The sequence below is a fragment of the Homo sapiens genome, chromosome 8, assembly GCF_000001405.40.
Source record: "Homo sapiens chromosome 8, GRCh38.p14 Primary Assembly".
In the NCBI taxonomy this organism is placed as follows: Eukaryota; Metazoa; Chordata; class Mammalia; order Primates; family Hominidae; genus Homo; species Homo sapiens.
The window spans coordinates 85,085,151-85,109,243 of record NC_000008.11 but is presented as its reverse complement, the minus strand read 5'-3'; the positions used below and the strand labels follow the sequence as shown (position 1 = coordinate 85,109,243).

At 36.4% G+C, this 24,093-nt stretch overlaps 1 protein-coding gene, 1 long non-coding RNA gene and 1 pseudogene across 18 annotated transcripts in view, besides 1 other annotated feature; 1 reads left to right on the top strand and 2 right to left on the bottom strand.

Annotated features, from left to right (window-relative positions):
* The window catches only part of LRRCC1 (leucine rich repeat and coiled-coil centrosomal protein 1), a 38,843-nt gene extending 36,837 nt beyond the window's left edge, over nucleotides 1-2,006 (bottom strand). For 13 of the 14 annotated variants that reach the window (XM_017013921.2, XM_017013920.2, XM_017013922.2 and 10 more), the window contains exon 1: nucleotides 1,845-2,006. In XM_017013921.2, the coding sequence (XP_016869410.1) occupies nucleotides 1,845-1,948 (104 nt within the window). In that variant the 5' untranslated portion in view covers nucleotides 1,949-2,006. Of the gene's footprint in view, nucleotides 1-1,525 lie in introns of all 14 variants that reach the window. The other variant, NM_001349637.2, reaches the window with a different exon arrangement.
* LOC105375933 (uncharacterized) lies at nucleotides 1,382-22,442 on the top strand. 4 transcript variants are annotated; one of them, XR_929117.3, is made up of 3 exons: nucleotides 1,382-1,685; nucleotides 21,016-21,141; nucleotides 22,184-22,442. It is a non-coding gene; the product is annotated as an uncharacterized LOC105375933 (long non-coding RNA). The 4 variants fall into 4 exon arrangements; XR_929118.3 differs by having other exon boundaries at nucleotides 1,467-1,527; XR_929119.3 differs by lacking the exon at nucleotides 1,382-1,685 and adding an exon at nucleotides 2,091-2,168.
* Nucleotides 1,835-1,894: an enhancer, noted in NCBI's record as "active region_27589". NCBI's record gives its function as "activates an Ori minimal core promoter by ATAC-STARR-seq in GM12878 lymphoblastoid cells {active_cell/tissue: GM12878}" and the evidence as "EXISTENCE:reporter gene assay evidence [ECO:0000049][PMID:35858748]".
* LOC100422614 (solute carrier family 7 member 13 pseudogene) lies at nucleotides 22,058-22,629 on the bottom strand (annotated as a pseudogene).

Genomic DNA, 24,093 nt, shown 5'->3' with positions numbered 1-24,093 from the left:
TCACGGTTTTGCTGTGTGATTTGAGCAAATGACAACCTGAGCCTCAGTTTTCTTACCTCAATTAATTCTCACAATAACTCTAAGCAGTGGGTATCTTAAGGATACCTAAATTTATGGAAATTAAATAGCTTGCCCAAATTCTTGCAGCTAACAGAGCATATGTAAATCCAGATCTCATGCTGGAGATTATAACTTTATTTTCTTCTTTGTGTGCAATAGCTATTTAATCCACAGTCTATTGCATTTTCAAAAACAAACCATGTTATTGCAATTCCTATTGAAAAAGTCCCTGTCCTCCCTTGTTGAAAGTTAATGGATCTCCCCTAAACAGAACTCATCTCTTCACTCCAATTACTATTTATAACTGAAGCTTCTCCTGAAGATAGTAGTTCCAGGAACACAAACTACAGCATACACAGTTTGGAGTTGCTAGATGGGAGATACACCCAGGAACACACAATGTCACGGGCATCTGCTGTAGGTTGAGTAGCAGCTATCTTACAGCTGTAGGAAACCTAACTCTGACAGCAGGGAAGCATTTGCAAATTTCAAACTAGCAACCTTTAAATGTGACTATCTGGGGCATTTCCCACTTATCCTGCTGTGTCATTTACTTGAGTTCTTATTTAGTGCCAGACCTTATGCTGTTAACACATGCTCTTAATGACAGTCATTTACTTTCTGACACATTTCAGTTTCTCGACATTAATAATGTGCAGATAATGTGAGATAGAAAAAGCATAGTGAAATTAGACGGAAAATGGGTTTGAATCCGAACTTAATTCTTCATGAAGTGTATAAAGATGAACAAATTGTCAATAGATTCTGAGTCTCATTCATCACTTGTAAATGAGAAAAATTACTACCTTGTAGAATTGCTGTGAGGATTACTGATAATGTATATAACATGCACACAACAGATAGCATTCAGTAAATGGCAGCTAGTATTAAATAGAAATGTAAAATGTCCCTTGAACAGCATCTTCTTGGGATCATCTGGCAAAGTTTAAATCAGAATCCAGAACAAGATGCTTAATTATCAGTAGCAGAGTTCGCGTAGAGGACACGCTACAAAGGAACAGCATGTGCAAAGGCACAGAGAAGTCTGCTATGGAATTGCCTGTAGCTCAGTACAGGTAAATAAAGTGTAAGTGGAGAAATGTTACGGGTCGAGACTAAAGAGCCTGAAATGCAGGTGGAGACCTGCTTTACAGTATTACAGAACCAAGTGCCTCATATGCTTTGCACAAGTCAGGGCTTCAAGAGAGAGGGAAACGATGAACTAAATATAGTAAGTTTAGTACTTTCAAAAAGTATATGAATATATGTATTGCAATGTTCTGTAACGGACAAATGATTTCGAATGCAGACAAGGAGAACTGAGGCAAAACTAACAGGCAGCAGCGACTGCCCGCTCATAGCTGCCAGAGATACTATCCTGCAGGTTTTTTTCAGAGGTAAGAACAGGAAAGACGAGAGAACACGAGAAAACCAGCAATTAAACGGCAAGCAAAGGAATAACCACCAGTAAGTAAGGAAAACCAGCAGAAGGAAAGAGTGGTCAGAAGCTGGTGGAGGACAAGGTCCTGGGGCAGTTTCTAGGCTAAGCAGAGTCGTGTGAAACGCTGGGCAGGAGACACGGGCGGGAAGGCATCCACGGCTCATTCAACCTGGCACTTCGGCAGGTAAGTTTTGGAGGAGCGGGGAGGCCGAAAGCCAGACTGCGTTCACTTATGGTCTTGGTAAAGCAGTGCCGCGCCTCCACTCTGGTGTCGCCGCCAGCCACTCGTGGCCCCGGCTCTGGGGAGTGCGCGGGTCGCTCCTGGCTGCGGAGCGCCCTTTACCTCTGCAAGCCTTTGTCCATGAAGCATACATCCCCGCAGCTGCTGTCGCCGTCTTCGTTTTCCACTTCCGCCTCTGCCGCCACCACCGCCGCCGCCGCCTCCATAGCACTGGCGACGGGGAGCGGGGTCTTAACCGGCACCCAGCGAGGGGTCCGTGAGCTTGGGACAAGCCTCCCGGAAGCGCGGAAGGGCGGCCCGAGGGGGCGGGGCGGGGCGAGGACCCACCCTCCAACCGACAGCCGGGAACTTTCCCGCCTTGACGGTGACGCAAAACTGGAATCCTCGTCCCAACTGTGGGCTTCTTTCGTTTTTACAGCATCTGCGGTGCGACTCTTGAACTTGCTGTAAAGTAAAACTGCTTCCCGGGCGTGTAGGAGCTGGAGAATGAATGGATTTGTCCTGTGTGCTTCTGTATATTTGCCTAGTAGCCGACTGACTTCTGAAGGCGGTTTTCACAGCGGTTTGGCTTTACGTGCCTTTACATAGCCTTACATACGTATAAATTGTTCCTCTGGCCATTGCACCTCCTGTTGATTCATTGAACAATTTGTGGGATGCCTTACTGTATGTCAGTCACTTCCCTGTATGAGGAAGAAAAAGATGAAGCCTATTCTTGTTCCTGGAAACATTCGCAGCCCCATAGAGGAAACAGAATTGCCATACAGTATGACGAATGCTAAGAATAACACAAGGGCATCGAAACCAACTCTAGAGTGATATGGGTAGTGGGTACGTTTTCTAAAAGAAGTGATTGATGACTGAATAGAGTCTTGCTGGGTTAGGGGGAGTTCTGGATGAATGGCATTACAGGTGGGAAAGCAATACCTGTGTGAGGTCAAATAACCCTCCTGGCTAGATTGCTTCCTAAGGCATAGTAATATTTTAAAACGGAGCAAATGGTGCAGTAGTCCATTTGAAGTGGACTATTTCCTTTTGAAATAACTCATATAGACAAAAATAAAAAAGATGTTTTAAAAAATGAGCAAAACCCACATGACATGTAGGACACCATAAAGTGACCAAATATTCAAAATTTTGGAGTCTCAGAAGGCAAAGAGAAAACAATAGAGTTGGAAAAATGGTTCAACAAAATACTATATGAAAACTTCCCAAGTCTAGCAAGAGATTTAGACACCCAGGCACAGGAGGCCAAAGGTTCCCAAACAGATACAATGCAAAAAGGTTTTCTTTTAAAAAAAATTTCATCTCACTTTTTATTTTAGATTCGGGGGTACATGTGCAGGTTTGTTACATAAGTATATTGCACGATGCTGAGGTTGTGGCTTCTAATGATCCTGTAACCCAAATAGTAAATATAGCGCTTGATAGGTAGTTATTCAACTCTTGCCTTCCCCCTTTTGGAGTCCCCAGTGTCTATTGTTCCCATCTTTGTGTTCATGTGTATCCAGTGTTTAGCTGCCACTTGGAAGTGAGAACATATGGTATTTGGTTTTCTGTTTCTGTGTTAATTCACTTAGGATAATGACCTTCAGCTGCATCCATATTGCTGCAAAGGACATGATTTTGTTCTTTTTTATGGCTGCATGTTGGTGTATATGTGCCACATTTTCTTTATCCAGTCTATCATTGATGGGCATCAGGGCTCATTCCATGCCTTTGCTACTGTGCTGCAATAAACATATGAATGCGGGTGTCTTTTTGGTAAAACAATTTATTTTTCTTTGGCTAGATACCTGGTCATGGGATTCCTGGATTGAACGGTAATTCTATTTTTAGTTCTTTGTGAAATCTCCAAACTGCTTTCCACAGTGGCTGCAATTTGCATTCCCACTGATGGTGTGTAAGCATTACTTTTTCTCTGCAACCTCACTAACATCTCATATTTTCTGACTTTTTAATAAAACCCACTCTGACTGCTGTGAGATGATATCTTATTATAGTTTTGATTTACATCTCTCTGATTATTAGTGATGTTGAGCATTTAAAAATATGTTTCTTGGCTGCTTGCATGTCTTCTTTCGCAAAAAAGAAAAGAAAAGAAAAAGTCTCCTTTATGGCCCATTGTAGTCAAACTGATAAAAGTCAAAGACAAAGAATTCTAAAAACAGCAAGAGAAAAACATCTAGTCATTTATAAGGGAACCCTCAACAAACTAACAGTGGATTTCTCACCAAAAACTTTACAAGCCGGCAGAGAATGGTATGATAAATTCAAAGTGCTGAAAGAAAAAACAGCCAGCCAAGTACTCAACAAAGTTATCCTTCATAAACCAAGGAAAAATAAAGTCTTTCCAAGATAAGCAAAAGCAAAAGAATTCATCACCAGTCGACTGGACCTATAAAAATGCTCATGAGAGTCTTACATATGGAAACAAAAGGACAATATTTACCAGCATGAAAACACACAAAAATATAAAGTCCACTGGTAGATCAAACACACAAGAAAGAGAAAGGACTCAAATGTTACCATTACAGAAAACCACCAAACCACAATCATAAACAATGATAGAGAAGGAAAGGAACAAGGAATACACAAAAATAACCAGAAATGGATTAATAAAATGACAGGAATAAGCCCTCACGTATCAATCATGACCTTATGCAAATGGAATAAATTTTCCACCTGGAAGATATAGCTTGAATTAATGGATTAAAAAATGACCCAACAATAGTCTGCTTAGAAGAAACTCATCACACTTGTAAAGACACATATGGACTGAAAGTAAAGGGAAGAAAAAAGATATTTTATGCAAATGGAAACCAAAAGCCAGCAGGAATAGCTATATGAATATTAGATACAATAGACTGTAAGTTAAAAATAGTAAAAAAGAGACAAGAAAGGTCACTATGTAATGATAAAGGGATCGGGCACAGTGGCTCATGCCTGTAATCCTAGCACTTTGGGAGGCCGAGGCGGGTGAATTGCCTGAGCTCAGGAGTTTGAGACCAGCCTCGGTAACACGGTGAAACCCCGTCTCTACTAAAATGCAAAAAATTAGCAGGGGCTGGCTGCGTGTGCCTGTAATCCCAGCTACTCAGGAGGCTGAGACAGGAGAATCACTTGAACCCGGGAGGTGGAGGTTGCAGTGAACTGAGATCGCACCACTGCACTCCAGCCTGGGCGACAGAGTTAGACTGTCTCAAAAAAAAAAAAAAAAAATCAATTCAGCAAGAGGATATAACAATTCTAAACATATATGCACTCTACACCTAGGCACCCAGATGTATAAAGCAAATATTATTAGATTTAAAGAGAGAGAGAGAGATTCCAACAGGATAATAGTTGGGGATTTAAGCACCCCATTCTCAGTATTACATAGATCATCTAGACAGAAAACAAACAAACAAACAAAAAACATTTAATTTAAACTGCACTTTATACCCAATGGATCTAACAGAAATTTGCAGAAAATTTCATCCAAGAGCTAGAGAACGCACATTTTTCTCATCAACATAGGGAACATTCTCCAGGACAGACTACATGTTAGGACACCAAAAATGGCTCAACAAAATTTTTAAAAATAAATAATGCTAAGTGTCTTCTCAGACTCCATTGAAACAAAACCAGAAATCAATTACAAGAGGAACTTTAGAAACTGCACAAATATATGGAAATTAAAGAACATGCTCCCAAATTATTGAGCAAGAAAGAAATTAAAGAGGAAATCAAAAAATTTTTTAGACCAGTAAGAACCAAAACACAACATACCAACACCTCTGGGGTACAGCAAAAGCAATGCTAACTGGGAAGCTTATAGTAATTAATGCCTTTATCAAAAAAGTAGAAAGATTTCAAATAAACAATTTAATGTTACACCTCAAGGAACTAGAAAAGCAAGAAGAATCCCAACCCAAAATTAGCAGAAGAAAAGAAATCATGAAGATCAGAGCAGAGCTAAATGAAATAGAAGCTTAAAAAAATACAAAGGATCAACAAAACAAAATGTTTTTTTTAAAAAAATGATGAGCAAAATTGATAACAAACAAAATTCACTAGCTAGACTAACCAAGAAAAAAAGAAGATCCCAGTAAACAAAATAAGAAATGAAGAAGAAGGCATTAAAACTGATGCCACAGAAATACAAAAGAGTGTCAGAGACAATTATGAACAACTGTATGGTAATGAACTGGAAACCCTAAAGGAAATGGGTGAATTCCTTGATACATACAATCTACCAAGGTTAAACCAGGAAGAAATAGAAAACCTAAACAGACCAATAATTAGTAGCTAGAATCAGTAATAAAAAGTCTTCCAACAAAAAAACTCCAGGACTGGATGGCTTCATGCTGACTCCCACCAATTTTTCAAAGAAGAACCAAAGCCAATTCTCTTCAAGCTATTAAAAAAATTGAACATGAGGGAATTCTCCCTAACTCATTCTACAAGGCCAGCATTACATTGATACCAAAACTAGACAGGGATGCAAAAAATAAAGAAAACTACAGGCCAACATCCCTGATGAACAGATGCAAAAATCCTCAATGAAATCCTCAATGAAAACTGAATCCAACAGCACATCAAACAGATACTAGATAATCAAGTGGGATTTATTCCAGGGATGCAGGAATTGTTCAATATATGTAAATGAACACATGTGATACATCATATCAACAGAATGAAGGACAAAATCCATAAGATCATCTCAGTAGATGCAGAAAACGCATTAGATGAAACTCAGTCTTTTCATGATACAAACTCTCAACAAACTAGGCATAGAAAGAACATACTTCAATATAATAAAGGCCGTATATGAAAAACTCACAGCTAACATCATCCTGAATGGGAAAAAGTTGAAATCCTTTCCTCTAAGAACTGGAACAAGACAAGTGTGCCCACTTTCAGCACTCTTATTTGACATACTACTGGAAATTATAGCTAGACCAATCGGCAATATAAAGAAATAAAAAGACATTGAAATTGGAAAAGAGAAAGTCAAATCGTCCCTGTTTGCAAATGGCATAATCTTATATCTAGAGAAACTTAAGGACTCTACCAAAAAACTCTTAGATCTGATAAATAAATTCAGGAAAGTTGCAGCATAGAATTTTAACATACACAAATGTAGCATTTCTATACACTAATAATGAACAAGCTGATAAAGAAACCAAGAAGGCAATCCCATTTGCAATAGCTATAAAAATAAAAGACTTAGAAATAAATTTAGCCAAGGATGTGAAAGGCAGCTTTTCTCTGCAAGAAAAGCTACAAAAGACTGATGAGGGAAATTGAAGAGGACACAGTCAAACAGAAAGCCATCTCAAGCTCATGTATCAGAAGAATCAACCTTGGCAAAACGACCATACTGCCCAAAGCAATCTACAAATTCAATGCAATTTCTATCAAAATGCCAACGTCAATTTTCACAGAAATAGAAAAAAGAATCATAAAATTGGTGTATAGAATCAACAAAGGGCTTGAATAACCAAAGTAATCCTGAGCAAAAAGAATAAAGCTGAAGGCATCACACTACCTGACTTCAAACCATATTACACAGCTATGGTAACCAAAACAGCATGGCATTGGTATTATAACAGACACATTGACTGATAGAGCAGAATAGAGAGCCCAGAAATAAACCTGCATACTTAAAACCAACTGATTTTTGACAAAAGTGCCAGGAACATACATTGTAGAGAAGATATCATCTTTAATAAATGGTGCTGGAAAAATTGGATATCCATGCAGAAGAATGAAATTGGACTACTGTCTCTCACCATATATAAAAAGCAGCTCAAGATGGATTATAAATTTAAATGTAAGACCTCGAATTATAAAGCTACTAGAAGAAAATGGGGAAAATATTTCAGAACATTTGTCTAGGCAAAGATTTTATGGCTAAGACAGGAAAAGCATAGATAACAAAAACAGAAATAGAGAAATGAGACTATGTTAAAATTGAAAAAACTGTACAGCAAAGAAAACCATCAAGACTTAGGATATCTGCTGAATGGAAGAAAATATTTGTAAACTATTTATCCAACAAGGGATGAATATCTAAAATATGCAAGGAACTCAAACAACTCAACAGTAAAAAAAAAAAATTCCATTGAAAAGTGGGCAAAGAACACAAATGGACATTTTTAGAAAGAAGACATACTAATGATCAACAGGTATATGAAAAAAATGCTTGTCGTTAATCATCAGGGAAATGCAAATCAAAATCAGAATGAGATACCATCTTACCCAGTTAGAATTGCTTTTATTAAAAAAGAGAAAAGGTAACAGATTCTGGCAAGAATATGGAGAAAAGGGAACTCTTATACACTATAGGTTGGAATGTAAATTAATGGGGCCACTATGGAAAACAGTATGGAGAATTCTCATAAAACTAAAAATAAAACTACTGTATGATCCAGCAATTCCCCTACTGGGTAATTATCTATAGGAAAAGAAATCATTATATCACAGGGATACCTGCACTCTCATGTTCATTGTGGCACTATTCACAAAAGCAAAGATATTGAGTCAACCTAAATGTCCATCAACAGATGAATGCATAAAGAAAATGTGGTATATAAACACAATGGATTACTAGTTGGCCATAAAAAATGAGATCTTGTCATTTGCAGAAACACGGATGGATCTGGAGGTTATTATGTTAAGTGAAATAAGCTCTGCACAGATTGAGAAATATCACATGTTCTCACTCATATGTGGGAGCTATAACAGTTGATCCCATGGAGATAGAGGTAGAAAGTAGAATGATAGATAACAGGATGGGAAGGGTGTGTGGGTTGGGGAGGATGGATGAAGAGAGATTGGTTAATGAGCACAAACATACAGTTAGGAGAAATAAGTTCTAATGTTCGATAGCAGAATAGGATGCCTAGAGGTAACAACAATGTAGTGTATGTTTCTTTTTCTTTCTTTCTTTTTGAGACAGAGTTTTGCTCTGTCTCCCAGGCTGGAGTGCAGTGGGGAGATCTTGGCTCACTGCAACCTCCACCTCCTGGGTTCAAGTATTCTCCTACCTCAGCCTCCTGAGTAGCTGGGATTACAGGCGCGTGCCACCACGTCCAACTAATTTTTGTATTTTTAGTGGAGACAGGGTTTCGCCATGTTGTCCAGGCTGGTCTCGAATTCCTGGCCTCAAGTGATCCACCCACCTCAGCCTCCCGAAGTGCTGGGATTACAGGCGTGAGACGCCACGCTCGGCCTGTAGTGTATCTTTCAAAATAGCTAGAAGAGAGGACTTAAACTTTCTCAACACATAGAAATAAGAAATACTTCGGGTGGTAGATACCCCTAATATCTTGACTTGATCATTACTCATTTTATGCATGTAACAAAATAGCATATGTACTCCATAAATATATACAAATATTAAACATTAACAAGACAATTAAAAAATCTGTTAACCCACTCCAAAATTTGTGGAAGTTGGCAAAAAAAAATTCGTAAGGGAAAATTTAGAACTTTAAATAAATGCATTACATAACAAGAATAACAACAGCATTAAATACTGAAAATCAATAAACTTTCAAGGAAATAAAAAAGGGGAAGAATAAAAGAAATCCTAAATTAATTGATTAATTAAAATAAATAATATGGTCATTTCAATGAAGTACTAAAAGTAATTTTTCATGATTAAAAAAGTAGTTAACAAGCTAGGAAAAGGTGGAGCAATTGTAACTTAATAAAGGGTACCTTTGAAAATCCTACAGCAGTGTTACCCAATAAAACATTAAAAGTATTCCTGCTATTGTCTAGAAATGATACTCAGACCATCATGATTGTAACCATATCAATTGTCCTAAAACTTACCTCACATTTCATTCAATCACAATAAAAGTCCCAACAGAAGCTTTCCTGGAACTTGAAAATATTATTTCAAAATATATGTCATTTCAAAAATTGTATTTTGATGAAAAATAAAGAAGGCAATTAACCATATCAAATACATAAAATATTTAAAAACTGTAATTATTATAATTATATTATTATAGACAAATAAATGGAAAAATTAACACTATAGGAATAAACTTTTATAAATATGAAAAAATTTTCTATTACAGCAAATTTATTTACTCACAAAATTTCCTTTCAAAAATATTTCTTTTTCAAAGAATCAGATCGTGCCTCTCTTTTTTTTTTTTTTTTTTTTTTTTTTTTGAAACTGAGTCTTCCTCTGTCTCCCAGGCTGGAGTGCAGTGGCCAGATCTCGGCTCACTGCAACCTCTGCCTCCTGGGTTCAAGCGATTGTCCTGCCTCAGCCTCCCGTGTAGCTGGTATTACAGGTGCACACCACCATGCCTGGCTAATTTTTGTATTTTTAGTAGAGACGAGGTTTCGCCATGTTGGTCAGACTGGTCTCAAACTCTTGACCTCAGGTGATCCACCCACCTTGGCCTCCCAAAGTGCTGGGATTACAGGCATGAGCCACCACACCTGGCCTGATCCTGTCCTTTGCAGCAAAGTGGAGGGAGCTGGAGGTCATTATCGTAAGCAAACTAACACAGGAACAGAATACCAAATACTGCATGTTCTCACTTATAAGTGGGAACTAAACAATGAGTACACATGGACACAAAGAGAGGAACAACAGATACTGGGGCCTACTTAAGGATGGAGGGTTGGGGGAAGGTGAGGATTGAAAAACTACCTATCGGGCACTATGCTTCTTACCCAGGTGACAAAATAGTCTGTACACCAAATACCCATGACATGCAGTTTACCTATAAAACAAACCTGCACATGTACCTCTAAACCTAAAAGTTAAAAAAAAAATCTCTTTTTTAAAAACAAAAGTGGAAACAAATTTTTAAAACTTATTGGCACTTTACTGCCACTTTAACATGATTTCTTTGTCTCTAGTTTTATTCTTAAGAATTTTAAAATACATGATTAGCTAATCATTTTTTCTGGAACAGAAAAGGAATCCAGCTCAATTTTAATTATTTATTTTTATTTGTCTTGTTTGTATAAATTTACGGGCCGCAAATGTAATTTTGTTACATACATAGATTGATTTCGCAGTGGTGAAGTTGGGGTTTTTAGGGTATCCAATACTTGAATAACATACATTGCATCCATTAAGTAATCTCTCATAATCTACCCCTTTTACTTCTGCTTAATGAATCGTATACATATTTTCTCTTCCATTAGATTTTCGTAATAACATTTTTTATCTAGCTTACTGTACTGTAAGAATACAGTATGCAATACATGTAATATACAAAATATATATTAATACACTATTTGTGTTATTGGCAAGGCTATTAGCAGTTAAGTTTTGGGGGATTAAAAAGTTATATGTGGATTTTCAACTGTTTGGGAGTCAGCACCCATAACTCCTGTGTTGCTCAAGCGTCAATGGTATATGCAAGGGCTTATTTTGAGGTTCTCTATTCTATTCCATTGGTCTATATGTTTGTCCTTATGCCAGTAAAACACTGTTTTGATTACTTGAGCTTTGCAGTATGTTTTGAAATCAGGAAGTGTGAGCCCTCCAGCTTTGTTCTTCTTTTTCAAGATTGATTTAGCTATTTGGAGTTCCGTGAGATTCCATATATATTTTAGATTTTTTAAATTTGTTTAAAAAATGTCATTGGGCTTTTGATAGAGATTGTACTGAATCTGTGGATCTCTTTGGGTAGTATTTGACATCTTAACAATATTAAGTCTTCCAATTAATGAGCAAGGGGTACAGTTCCATTTACTTATGTTTTCTTTAACTTCTTTCAACGTTTTGTAGTTTTCATCGTGCAAGTCTTTCACCTTCTTGGTTAAATTAATTCCTAAATAATGTATTCTTTTTGCTGGTGGTATAGATGAAATTATTTTAATAATTTCCTTTTCAGATTGTTCTTTATTAGCGTATAAAAATGCAACATATGTTTGAGCATTGACTTTGTATCTTGTTACTTTGCTGAATTCATTTATTAGTTCTAGCCATTTTTGTGTGTGTGTGTCTTTAGGATTTTCTTTATCTAAGATTATATCCTCTGTGAAAAGGATAATTTTACTTCTTTCTTTTAAGTTCAAATTCCTTTTATTTCTTTTTCTTGCCTAATTATTCTGGCCAGAGCTTCAAATACTATATTGAATACAAGTGATGAGAGTGGGTATCCTTAACTTGTTTCTGATCTTAGAGGAAAGGCTTTCAACTATTCACCATCAAGTGCAGTTTTATCTGTGAAGTTGTGCTATATGGCCTTTATTGTGTTGAAGTTCATTCAATCGATACCTAATTTGTTGAGAATTCTTTTCATGAAAGATTATTGAATTTTGTCAATTTTTTTGGCATCAATTGAGATTATCATTTGATTTTTTCCTTCATACTGTTAATGTAGTACATTATATTAATTTTAATATATTGAATCCTCCTTGAATTTCAGGAATAAATCACATTTGGTCATGGCATATAATTCTTTTAATATGATGCTTAATTCAGTTTGCTAGTATTTTGTTTAGGATTTTTGCACCTATCTTCATAAGGAATATTGGCCTATAGTTTTTCTTTTTTTGTAATGACTTTGGCTTGGTATCAGGGTAATGTTGACTTCATAGAATGATAATGTTAGGAAGTGTTCCTTCCTTTTCCATTTTTTTTGAAAAGTTTTAGAGGGATTGGATTAGCTCTTTTTTAAATGTTTAGTAGAATTCATCAGTGGAACCATCAGGCCCAGTGCTTTTCTTTGTCAGATTTTTTATTGCTGATGCAATCTCCTTATTAGTTATAGGTCTACTTAGATTTTCTAGCTCTTCATTATTTAGTCTTAGTAGGTTTTATGTGTCTAGGAATTTGCCCATTTCATTTAGGTGATCTGATTTATTGGCATAGAGTTGTTTGTAATACTTTCTTATACTCCTATTTATTTCTATAGAATCTAATAATGTCTCTACTTTCATTTCTGATTTTAGTAATTTGAATCTTCTTTTTTCTTACTCTATCTAGCTACATGTTTATCAATTTTGTTGATCTTTTCAAAGAATCAACTTTTGGTTTCGTTCATTTTCTCTGTTGTTTTTCTTTTAAAAATTTTTTATTGATACATAATAGTTGTACATATTTTTCAGTACATTTGATAAGTTGATACATTCATATAATCAAGTCAAGGTAATTGGGATATCAATTTTCTTAACTATTTATCTTTTTTATGCTAAGAAGATACAAATTATTCTCTTCTAGGTATTTTGAAATGTACAATCAATTAATGTGAGCTATAGTAACCCTTTTGATATATCAAACACCAGGTTTTATATATATATAGTGTATGTATATATATATATATATAGTGTGTGTATATATATAGTGTGTGTGAATATATATATATATATATAGTGTGTGTGTGTATATATAGTGTGTACCCATTCATCAACCTCTCCTTATTGTCACCTACTCCAGCCCCTTCTTGGCCTCTGGTAACCACCAGTATACTCTATCATTATGAGATCCACTTTATTATGAGTGAGAATATGCAATGTTTGTCTTTCTGTGCTTTGCTTATTTCACTTAACATAATGATCTCCAGTTCCATCCATGTTGCTACAAATGACATGATTTCATTCTTTTTTAAGGCTAAATAATATATTCCATTGTGCATATATGTTACATTTTTATTTATCCATTCATCTATTGATAGAAATGTAGGCTGCTTCCATATTTCAGCTATTGTGAATATTGTTGCAATAAACATGGGAGTGCAGATATCTCTTCAATATATTGATTTCCTTTCAGACATATACCCAGTAGTGGAATTACTGGATCATACAGTAGTTCTATTTTTAGTTTTTTGAGGAACCTTCATACTGTTTTCCATAGTGGCAGTACTAATCTACCTTTCCATCAAAAGTGTGTGGGGGTTTCCATTTCTCCACATTCTTGCCAGCATCTGATATAATCTTTTTATTTTTTTTAAATAAAAGCCATTCTAACTGATGTGAGATGGTATCTTGTTGTGGTATGATTTGCATTTCTATAATGAATAGTGATGTTGGGCATTTTTTTCATATATCTGTTTTTCATTTGTATGCCTTCTTTTGAGAAATGTCTATTCAGATCTTTTGCCCATTTTTAGATTGAATTATTTGTGTGTTTGTCTGTGTGTTTGCTATTGAATTGTTAGACTTCATTATATATTCTATTTATTTTCAAACTATCCATCTGACAAGAGATTATTAATTATACAGAGTCAGTGTAATTATAATACATACATTCTGTTGTACTTAAGTTAAAGTCTCAGATCAATTAGAAATGTCACTTAAACACTTAAGAGGAAAGCTACCTAGTTTTAAAAACTAGTCCTAATAGTTTATGGAATTTTTTTTCATCTAGTTGGGTCTGGGACTCTGATGTGTGTGTTGGTGGTGATGAGGGAGAAGAAGGAACATGCTTGAGGTCAATACGGCCTCATTCTGCTGCTTAGAATCTTGTTAAAGTAGCCTTAATTACTGAAGTGACATAAATAGAATTAGAATATGGATAGGAATGAAGATCATTGAGATTCAGGAAAATGGCAAAACCCAATCCAAGGAAACTAAGAATCACAATAAAATGATACAGTAGCTGAAAGATGAAATAGCCAGTGTAAAAAAGAACCTAACAGATGTGACAGAACTGAAAAACACACTACAAGAATTTCACAATGCAATCACAAGTATTAACAGCAGAATAGACCAAATTGAAGAAAGAATCTCAGAACTTGAAGACTGGCTCTCTAAAATAAGACAGTCAGACAAAAAGAAAGAATGGAAAGGAATGAACAAAACCTCCAAGAAATAAGGGATTATGTAAAGGGGCCAAATTCATGAATCACTGGCATCCCTGAAAGGAAGGAGGGGAAAGCAAGGAACTTGGAAAACATATTTCAGGATATCATCCACGAAAATGTCCCCACCCTTTCTAGAGAGGCCAGCAGTCAAATTTAGGAAACACAGAGAACCTCTGCAAGATTTTACACAAAAAGATCATCCCCAAGACGCATAACCTTCAGATTTTCCAAGGTTGAAATGAAAGAAAATGGTAAAGGCAGCTAGAGAGAAAGGGCAGATCACTTACAAAGGGAACTCCACCAGGCTAAACCCTACAAACCAGAAGAGATTGGGGGCCTATATTCAACATTCTTTTTTGCTGTTGTTGTTTTGAGATGGAATCTTGCTCTGTCACTCAGGCTGGAGTTCAGTGGCAGAATCTTGGCTCACTGCAACCTCTGCCTCCCAGGTTCAAGCGATTTTCCTGCCTCAGCCTCCAGAGTAGCTGGGATTATAGGCGTGCACCACCACACCCAGCTAATTTTTGTATTTTTAGTAGAGACAGCGTTTCGCCATGTTGGCCAGGCTGCTCTCAAACTCCTGACCTCAAGCAATCTGCCTGCCTCAGCCTTCCAATGTGTTGGGATTACAGGCATGAGCCACTGCGCCCTGCCAAAGATTGTCAATATTTTAATTTTTTTTTTGTTTTAATCTTTATTTTAGATATCATGCCTAGATATTTTCAATGGGAGAGTTGATCTGAATAACTGAGCCTGCTATTAATGGAAATTAGAATTTGAGAGCAGCCTGGTCAACATGGTGAAACCCCATCTGTACTAAAAATACAAAATTAACCGGGCATGGTGGTGCGGGCCTGTAATCCCAGTTACTCAGGAGGCTGAGTCAGGAGAATTGCTTGAACCTGGGAGGCGGAGGTTGCAGTGAGCCAGGATCGTGCCACTGCACTCCAGCCTGGGTGACAGATCCAGACCCCGTCTCAAAAAAAAAAAAAAAAAAAAGGCTTGGGACTTTCCATAATTCTTTAAGACTGTCAATATTTTATTTTTATTTACATATATATATATATTTATTTTTTTTTTGAGACGGAATCTCACTCTGTCACCCAGGATAGGGTGCAGTGGCGCCATCTCAGCTCACTGCAACCTCCGCCTCCCGGATTTAAGCGATTCTCCTGCCTCAGCCTCCTGAGTAGCTGGGATTACAAGCTTCTGCCACCGTGCCTGGCTAATTTTTGTATTTTTAGTAGAGACGGGGTTTCTCTGTGTTGGCCAGGCTGGTCTTAAACTCCTGATCTTGTGATCACCCGCCATGGCCTCCCAAAGTGCTGGGATTACAGGCGTGAGCCACCGCACCTGGCCTTTATTTTATATTTTTTGAGACAGTCTTGCTCTGTTGCCCAGGCTGAAGTGCAGTGGTGTGAACTTGGCTCACTGCAACCTCTGTCTCCCGGGTTCAAGCAATTCTCCTGCCTCAGCCTCCCGAATAGCTGGGCCTACAGGTGCATGCCACCATGCCCAGCTAATTTTTGTATTTTTAGTAGAGGTGGGGTTTCACCATGTTGGCCAGGCTGGTCTTGAACTCCTGACCTAAAGTGATCCACCTGCCCTGGCCTCCCAAAGTGCTGGGATTACAGGCGTGAGCCACCGCACCCGGCCACAGATTGTCAATATTTTATTTTTTTTGTTTTATTCTTTATTTTAGATATCATGCTTAGATATTTTCAATGGGAGAGTTGATTTGAATAACTGAGCCTGCTATTAATGGAAATTAGAATTTTTTTCTCAAATTCTTGTTACCATTTGATTGTTTTTAAATATTCCCTATTCCCTACTTTGTTTAGCAACGTTCCAATGTGTCTCCTGATTTTACCTTAATTCGATACATTTTTATATTTCTATTTCACTTTTCCCTGAATTTTGCCAGCTTACATTTTATTTCTTTCTGTGGTGTTGACATATCTCCTCTGAACTCCTGCAACTCTGCTTTGTGCTCACATGTCATAGACTTGATTGCAGCATAAGATTTTTAACATTCGTGGTGAATCCAAGGTCACATTTTCTAATGCATTTTATTGGTCAGCCATTTCTTCTTATTTCATTTCTCCTGTTTCTGTAGAATGTCTTACACAGATTTTGGGATTGTTCTTTTTTGATTAATTACTCATTTTTGAAACAAGCAAATTTTTCCTGGACCAGCCATTTACTAGAGTTTCTGGTGAGGAGGGATCATCCAGATGGGCTAGTATTTCCCTACGCTCTGGGACTTTTTTTTTTAGATTTTGTTTCTCCCATATTAAGGACATAGTTATCAGGGCACAAATAATTCAGAATGCAACATCTTTCTTATCTGCTTCCAAAAATATAGATTTCTGAACTTACGGTTTGTCCATCTGATGAATTTCTTCTTCTTTAAATTTAATTTAATTTAATTTTAAATTCTGGGATACACACGCAGGACATGCAGGTTTGTTACATAGGTAAATGTGTGCCATGGTGGTTTGCTGCACCTATCAACCCATCACCCAGGTATTAAGCTCCACATGCATTAGCTATTTATCCTGATGCTCTCCCTCCCTTCAAGACCCCCCAACAGGCCCCAGTGTGTGTTGTTTCTGTCCTGTGTCCATGTGTTCTCATTGTTCAGCTCCCACTTATAAGTGAGAACATGTGGTATTTGGTTTCTGTTCCTGTGTTAGTTTGCTGAGGATGATGGCTTCTAGCTCAGTCCGTGTCCCTGGAAGGGACATGATCTTATTCCTTTTGCGTAGTATTCCATGGTGTATATGTACCACATTTTCTTCATCCAGTCTATCATCAGTGGACATTTGGGTTGATTCCATGTCTTTGCTATTGTGAATAGTGCTGCAGTGAACATATGCATGCCTGTATCTTTAAAATAGAATGATTTATATTCCTTTGGGTATATATCCAATAATGGGATTACTGAGTCCAATGGTATTTCTGCCCCTAGGTCTTTCAGGAATTGCTACACTGTCTTCCACAATGGTTGAACTAATTTACATTCCCACCAACAATGTAAAAGCATTCCTATTTCTCTACAGCCTCATCAGCATCTATTGTTTCTTGACTTTTTAATAATTGCCATTCTGACTAGTGTGAGATGGTATTTCGTTGTGGTTTTAATTTGCATTTCTCTAATAATTAGTGGTTTTGAGCTTTTTATCATGTTTGTTGGCTGTATAAATGTCTTCTTTTGAAAAGGGTCTGTTAATGTCCTTTGCCTACTTTTTAATGAGCATTTTTTCATGTTTGTTGGCTACTTGCATGTTTTATTTTGAGAAATGTCTGTTCATGTCCTTTGCTCATTTTTAAAAAATGGGGTTGTTTTTTTCTTGTTTTTGTTTGAGTTCCTTGTAGCTTTTGTATATTAGTTCAAAGACAATTTTTGAAATGGTGTTGTGGCTGTTTTTATTAAGCCATGCTCTTCTCAGAACAGAATTTGTGTGTTTTAAGATTTCCAGAGTACCTTCACAGATTTTTTTCATTTTATTATCATTACTAATAATGTGTGAGGTGAGCTAATAAGACATCATTTTATTTTAGAGTTGAGATAACTGAGAATCAGTAACCTTTGATATATAGTATAAAATCTTATTTTCTTTTTTACTGTTTTATTTTTTAATGATATTATGGATTCTCTTTTATATTTAGGAACTTTTTATAACTGGAAATGTAAAATGTAAAAAAAAGGTATTCTTAATATATTTGCCTAGATAAATAAAGTTCAATGCAGAACTGAAGCTTTTAAAATTTGCCTATTTTTAGGGCAAAAAATTTAGTTTCTTTACCTATATGACAGTAATTAAAACAAATTCTGAAAATCTGAAAAATTTATTGTGAACTGAAATTATATACATATGGATAAATATTGCAGAAAGGTTCTGTATTAATTCGTTTTCATGCTGCTGATAAAGACATACCTGACACTGGGTAATTTATAAAGAAAAACAAGTTTAATGGACTCACAGTTCCACCTGGCTGGGGAGGCTTCACAATCATAGTGGAAGGCAAAAGGCACATCTTATGTTGTGGCAGACAAGAGAGAATGAGAGCCAAGTGAAAGGGAAAACCTCTTATAAAATCGTCGATATCGTGAGAGTTATTCACTACCATGAGAACAGTATGGGGGTCATGATTCAGTGATCTCCTACTGTGTCCCTCTCACAACATGTGGGAATTATGGGAGCTATAATTCAAGATGAGATTTGGGTAGGGACACAGCCAAACCATATCAGATCCATACATTCAGTAATAGGGAAATTGAGTACTTGAAGTGGCTATTCCTTATAGATTTTGGGCATGTGCCAGGAGACAAAGCATATGAGTGACATTTTCTGGGGGGTAGATGTTAACCTAAAGCACCCATGATGTCCTTGAAAAGTATGTCCCAAGGGATTTTGGTAAATATTCTTAGAATTTTAATTCTATTATGTCCTATTTAATCTATTGTATTCTGTTTATTTTTTTCCTTTTCCAATTTTTGGTGCTTTCTATATTTCTGCAGCTGGACTTTATTATTACCTATAATTTTAGCATATGTTCATAATTAGAGATTGCTTAGTCCTTTTAAATTTTTATCTTTAAATAAGTAAATAACCCAGACATGAACCAGTTTAGCATAATTCTCTTAAGGTAGGCAAAAAGATCCACTGTATTAGAGACCCCCTTCATTTAGGGGAATAAGAAAGAATCTTCTCTCTGGTTCTATGTAGCCATACCTGAGAACCCGATTCCCTCTGGAGTCCGGACTATTAGGTAGGACGTTTTAACCAATAAGTAAATCAGTGCCACAGGGGTAGGTGCAGTAATTACACATTTGGGGATATTTTCACTAGGCTTTTTCAGATCTCCTGAGAAAAAAAGGCTTTCTATGTAACCTTTGAAAGTGCCTTCACTATAATATATAATAAGAAAAATAAATGAGTCTGCAAACAACAAGAGCTCATTTGTTCATTTTTGTTGAATGTTTACCATGTCTCTGGCACATTGTTGACTCTAGTTGTGTTACAGGAAAGGGGTCCAATCCAGACCCCAAGAGAGGGTTCTTGGATCTTGCACAAGAAAGAATTCAGGGCAAGTCCATGAAATGAAAGCAAGTTCATTAAGAAAGTAGAATAAAAGAATGGTTACACCATAGAGCAGCCTGGAGAGCTGCTGATTGCCCATTTTTATGGTTATTTCTTGATTACATGCTAAACAACAAGTGGGTTATTCATGCCTCCCCTTTTTAGACCACTTAGGGTAACTTCCTGATGTTGCCATGGCATTTGTAAACTGTCATGGCACTGGTGGGAGTGTAGCAGTGAGGATGACCAGAGGTCACTCTCATGGCTATCTTGGTTTTGGTGGGTTTTAGCTGACTTCTTTACTGCAATCTGCTTTATCAATAAGGTCTTTATGACCTGTATCTCGTGCAGACCTCCTATCTCATCCTGTGACTTAGAATGCCTTAACCATCTGGGAATGCAGCCCAGTAGGTTTTAGTCTTGTTTTACCCAGCTCCTATTCAAGATGGAGTTGCTCTGGTTCACCCGCCTCTGACAGTTGTATCATAATTGAGTTAAATTCTGGGGTCTCAATGTTATACTCTGAGATACTTAAAATGGGCCTTTGGGTTAAGAAGAGTATAGGTCATAAACCTTGAACTCTAGAACATAACGGGAGCTAACCCTGCCCTACCCTGTGGCTGACATGGTAGAATGGTAACTGTGTTAATGAAGAGTTAAAATAGCTTATCTCTTAATCTGGTCACAATATTCTAGGGCATTCAGGTAGACTCTCCTGTTCTTTTAACTCATTGGATTAAGTGTCTAGACTCCTGTTCTTTTAACTTGTTGGATTAAGTGTCTAGACTAGTTAAGCCTTGGATTAAACTTGAGCATATATTGCCAACACCAAAACTGACATGGGTATTTAACTATTTGGAAAATAAAAAATTATATACAACCCCTTCAAAGTAATTCACATGCATTAAAGAGTAAAATGCAAAAAGTAAGACCATAATAATATAGAGAAAAAGTATTTATATAAAAAAGTATATATATTTATCTAAATCTTGAGATGGGAAAAGACTTTTTAAGTATAAAAACAGAGAAAAATTAAAAGATCAATAGTTTGATACTATAGATATTAAGTCTTAGAAATCTCATGAATGAAATTAAAAATTGAAGAACCAGCTGGGAAAAAATACTTGCCTCCCATCCTACAAGAAAGAAGTATAAATGATTGTGATCATTTGCAAAACTCTCCCCTTTCTTTAGTAATAGGAGAAAAAGTGGGATATAACACTGAGATTTAATCTTCATAAATCTAAGTGGCAAAAGAATAAGAAAGGTATGATAATGCCAAGGGTAGTCACACTAAGGTATATTTGTAGAACCTTTCTGGAAGGCAACTTGGACAATATTTCTCAAGACATTTCTTAATGTTTTTATCCTTTTTTAAGTAATTTTACTTCAAGATTTTTTTTCTAATAGAGCAATGAGTGATCCAACCAAGATTTATGTAGAAGGATGCTAATTGCAACAATAAGTGTTACATTTAAAAGAGAAAAACTGGAAACAACTCTAGGATCCAACAATGGAGAAAATGGTTAAATAATGGTAAATATTCATATGATAGAATACTGTGTTTTCTTAAGACCCAGTTATATTTAATAATATCTGTAAATTCTCACTAGGCATCTATTAGTTTGTTTTCATGCTCCTGATAAAGACATACCCAAGGCTGGGAAATTTACAAAGGAAAGAGGTTTAATGGAGAACTCACAGTTCCATGTGGTTGGGAAGTCTCACAATCATGGTGGAAGGCAAGGAGGAGCAAGTCACATCTTACATGGATGGCAGCAGGCAGATAGAGCTTGTGCAGGGAAACTCCCTTTATAAAACCATCAGATCTTGTGAGACTTATTCACTATTGCAAGAAAAGAACAGGAAAGACCTGCCCCCATGATTCAATTACCTCCCACTTGGTACCCCCCACAACATGTGGAGATTCAAGATGAGATTTGGGTGGGGACACAGGCAAATCATATCAAGGTACTTTAAGTAAAATAAAGTTATAAGGTTATATGTGCAGTGTGATTCCCCTGCCATAGGTGTGTACATGTGAGATAATTGGTTAAAAGTAATCTTTATTTTAATTCATATTTTCTGCATTTTAAATTTTTTCTCTGGTGATGTTCTATTATAATTAAAAAAAACAGACTGATACACTATTTTGTTCAGTGAAAAAAATGCAATTGCCTTGGAGTCTTTAAGCTGCTCCAGATTTATGTGCACTTGTTTTAATTGTAAATACCTGAAAGATATTTTACCCTCCAAAGTTGGTAGGCCACACGTGTAGAGAGCTTATTGCATTTCAGCCCTCTAATAAAGTAAAAGCTTAACACATCATATCAAAGCAACATACTGTTTTTTTTTTTCTAAGAATTAAAGTACTTGGTTGTTACATGTTTATAGCTTAGTGGTGGTTTTTATAATTAAATAAATAAATTTTACCTGCTATTCAAACAAGGACTCCCCACCCTGAATACACATAAAATCCTTGAAGAAAGGCTTCTGCAATCTGTGGGGCATCTGGAATTGTGGCATGAAAAGCTTTCTCAAACCTGACTAAGTGCTGTTTTCTTTCTCTCACCAACAGCATTATTCCAGTTGGAGATATAAAGCAGAGAACCATCATTCTCAAAACTGTTCTGAGAGTCAGCATGTCACCTCTTTCACTCCTCAAGCCTTCAGAATTCCAATGCTAAACATTTCTCTGGCATCTAAGGAACAAAACGTTCAGGATAGAAAGGCTGTGATACTACCCTGCTAGTATCAATCCACATGCACCAGGTCCTGCTGAAGTGTTAAATAGGTTGATACAGGGATGGAATAAAACAATAAAGTGTCTGAGAGAACTTCTGAGGAAATAATACTGTGCACCGCTTCTAGGGAAGGTGGCCCCTAGCTCTGCATGACTAACAGCAGCCATCACAGACACCATGGCACAAGCAGCCCAAATACTCAGGGAGACCCCACATTGAGTGAGTTGTATTTTAATGCCCCTTCAGGAGAAACAAATATGCCTGTACCTATTTTGATACTGAATAACAAATTTGTTCCATGGAAATGTCCTATTACTCATTGAAGCCAGGTACTTTCCTCCTCCTTCATTTTTTTTTTTTTTTTTTTTTTTTTTTTTTTTTTTTTTTTTTTTTTTTTTTTTGAGACAGAGTCTCACTCTGTTGCCCAGGCTGGAGTGCAGTGGCATGATCTCAGCTCACTGCAGCCTCCACCTCCCAGGTTCACGCCATTCTCCTGTCTCAACCTCCCAAGTAGCTGGGACTACAGGCGCCCGCCACCACGCCCGGCTAATTTTTTTGTATTTTTAGTAGAGACGGGGTTTCACCGTGTTAGCCAGGATGGTCTCGATCTCCTGACCTCGTGATCCGCCCGGCTCGGCCTCCCAAAGTGCTGGGATTACAGGCGTGAGCCACCGTCCTTCTTCATTTTTTAAACTGGAAACTTAATTTAGAAAGTTAACATAAATTCCCAGTTTTTATTCTGTTTGCTGTGCTTCTGAAAGGCTTCATGTAATCCTCTTGTAGTTAAGTGTTTTGCTTTCCTCTTTCTCCCTTACTCAAATATATTTTGTTATAGCTCCTAACATAATTTTAAAAACTCACTTGTGAGTTAATTGAACTAATTTTCGAAATCTTAATATTAAAGTTAAAATGTTTTACGAGTTAAGCATTTAAAAATCTATGCACAATTAAGCAAGTTAGACACAGCTGACTAAGAGATAAAAAAAATGCAACCTCATTAATGTTGACCCTTAAACAGTAATTCTTTAAATTTGTACAATGAGAAAATTAATATAGAATGATGAAAAATATTAGGTTTGAATCACATGATAACATATCTTGAATCACACACACATCTGCCACTTCCTAGTAATTCTGTTACTTATTGATTTCATCATTAAAAAATAGATCTGATAATCCCTGTCTTGTTTTTTAAAATAAAATTATATAAAGTAGTTGAAGTAGTTTATCTATAAAGAAATACTAATAAGAGTCTCCTGGTAGTGTACATAATATACATTAAGACTCCATAAATGTTAGCTTTGTAATTGGGTTATTCTAATTATTACTATCTACAATATATAGAGGGTGCTTCAGCTACTTTAAGATGCTTTAAAAATATTTTGTAGTTAGTTGCAAATTAGGCTTAATTTTCCACAAGCACATCACTTAGTACACATATTTTGGGTTTTATACTTCCTCTATCAAACAGATTTACAAGCAAAAAGACTCTTATATAAGCATAATTTATCTTGTCAACAATATGTTGAATTAATCTTTATCCTCTGGAAACTCCTGTCTAAAGAAGACATATATAAACCAACAGTTTGTAATACACCAGTTGTAAACTTTAACAGAGTTATAATAATAATAGCCAACACTTCTATGGCACCTACTATGTGCCAGGAGCTGTGTTTAACACTTATAGTAACTTACTAAATCAAATCAGCTACCTTGTGGGATAATACAGATAAATAAGGAAATC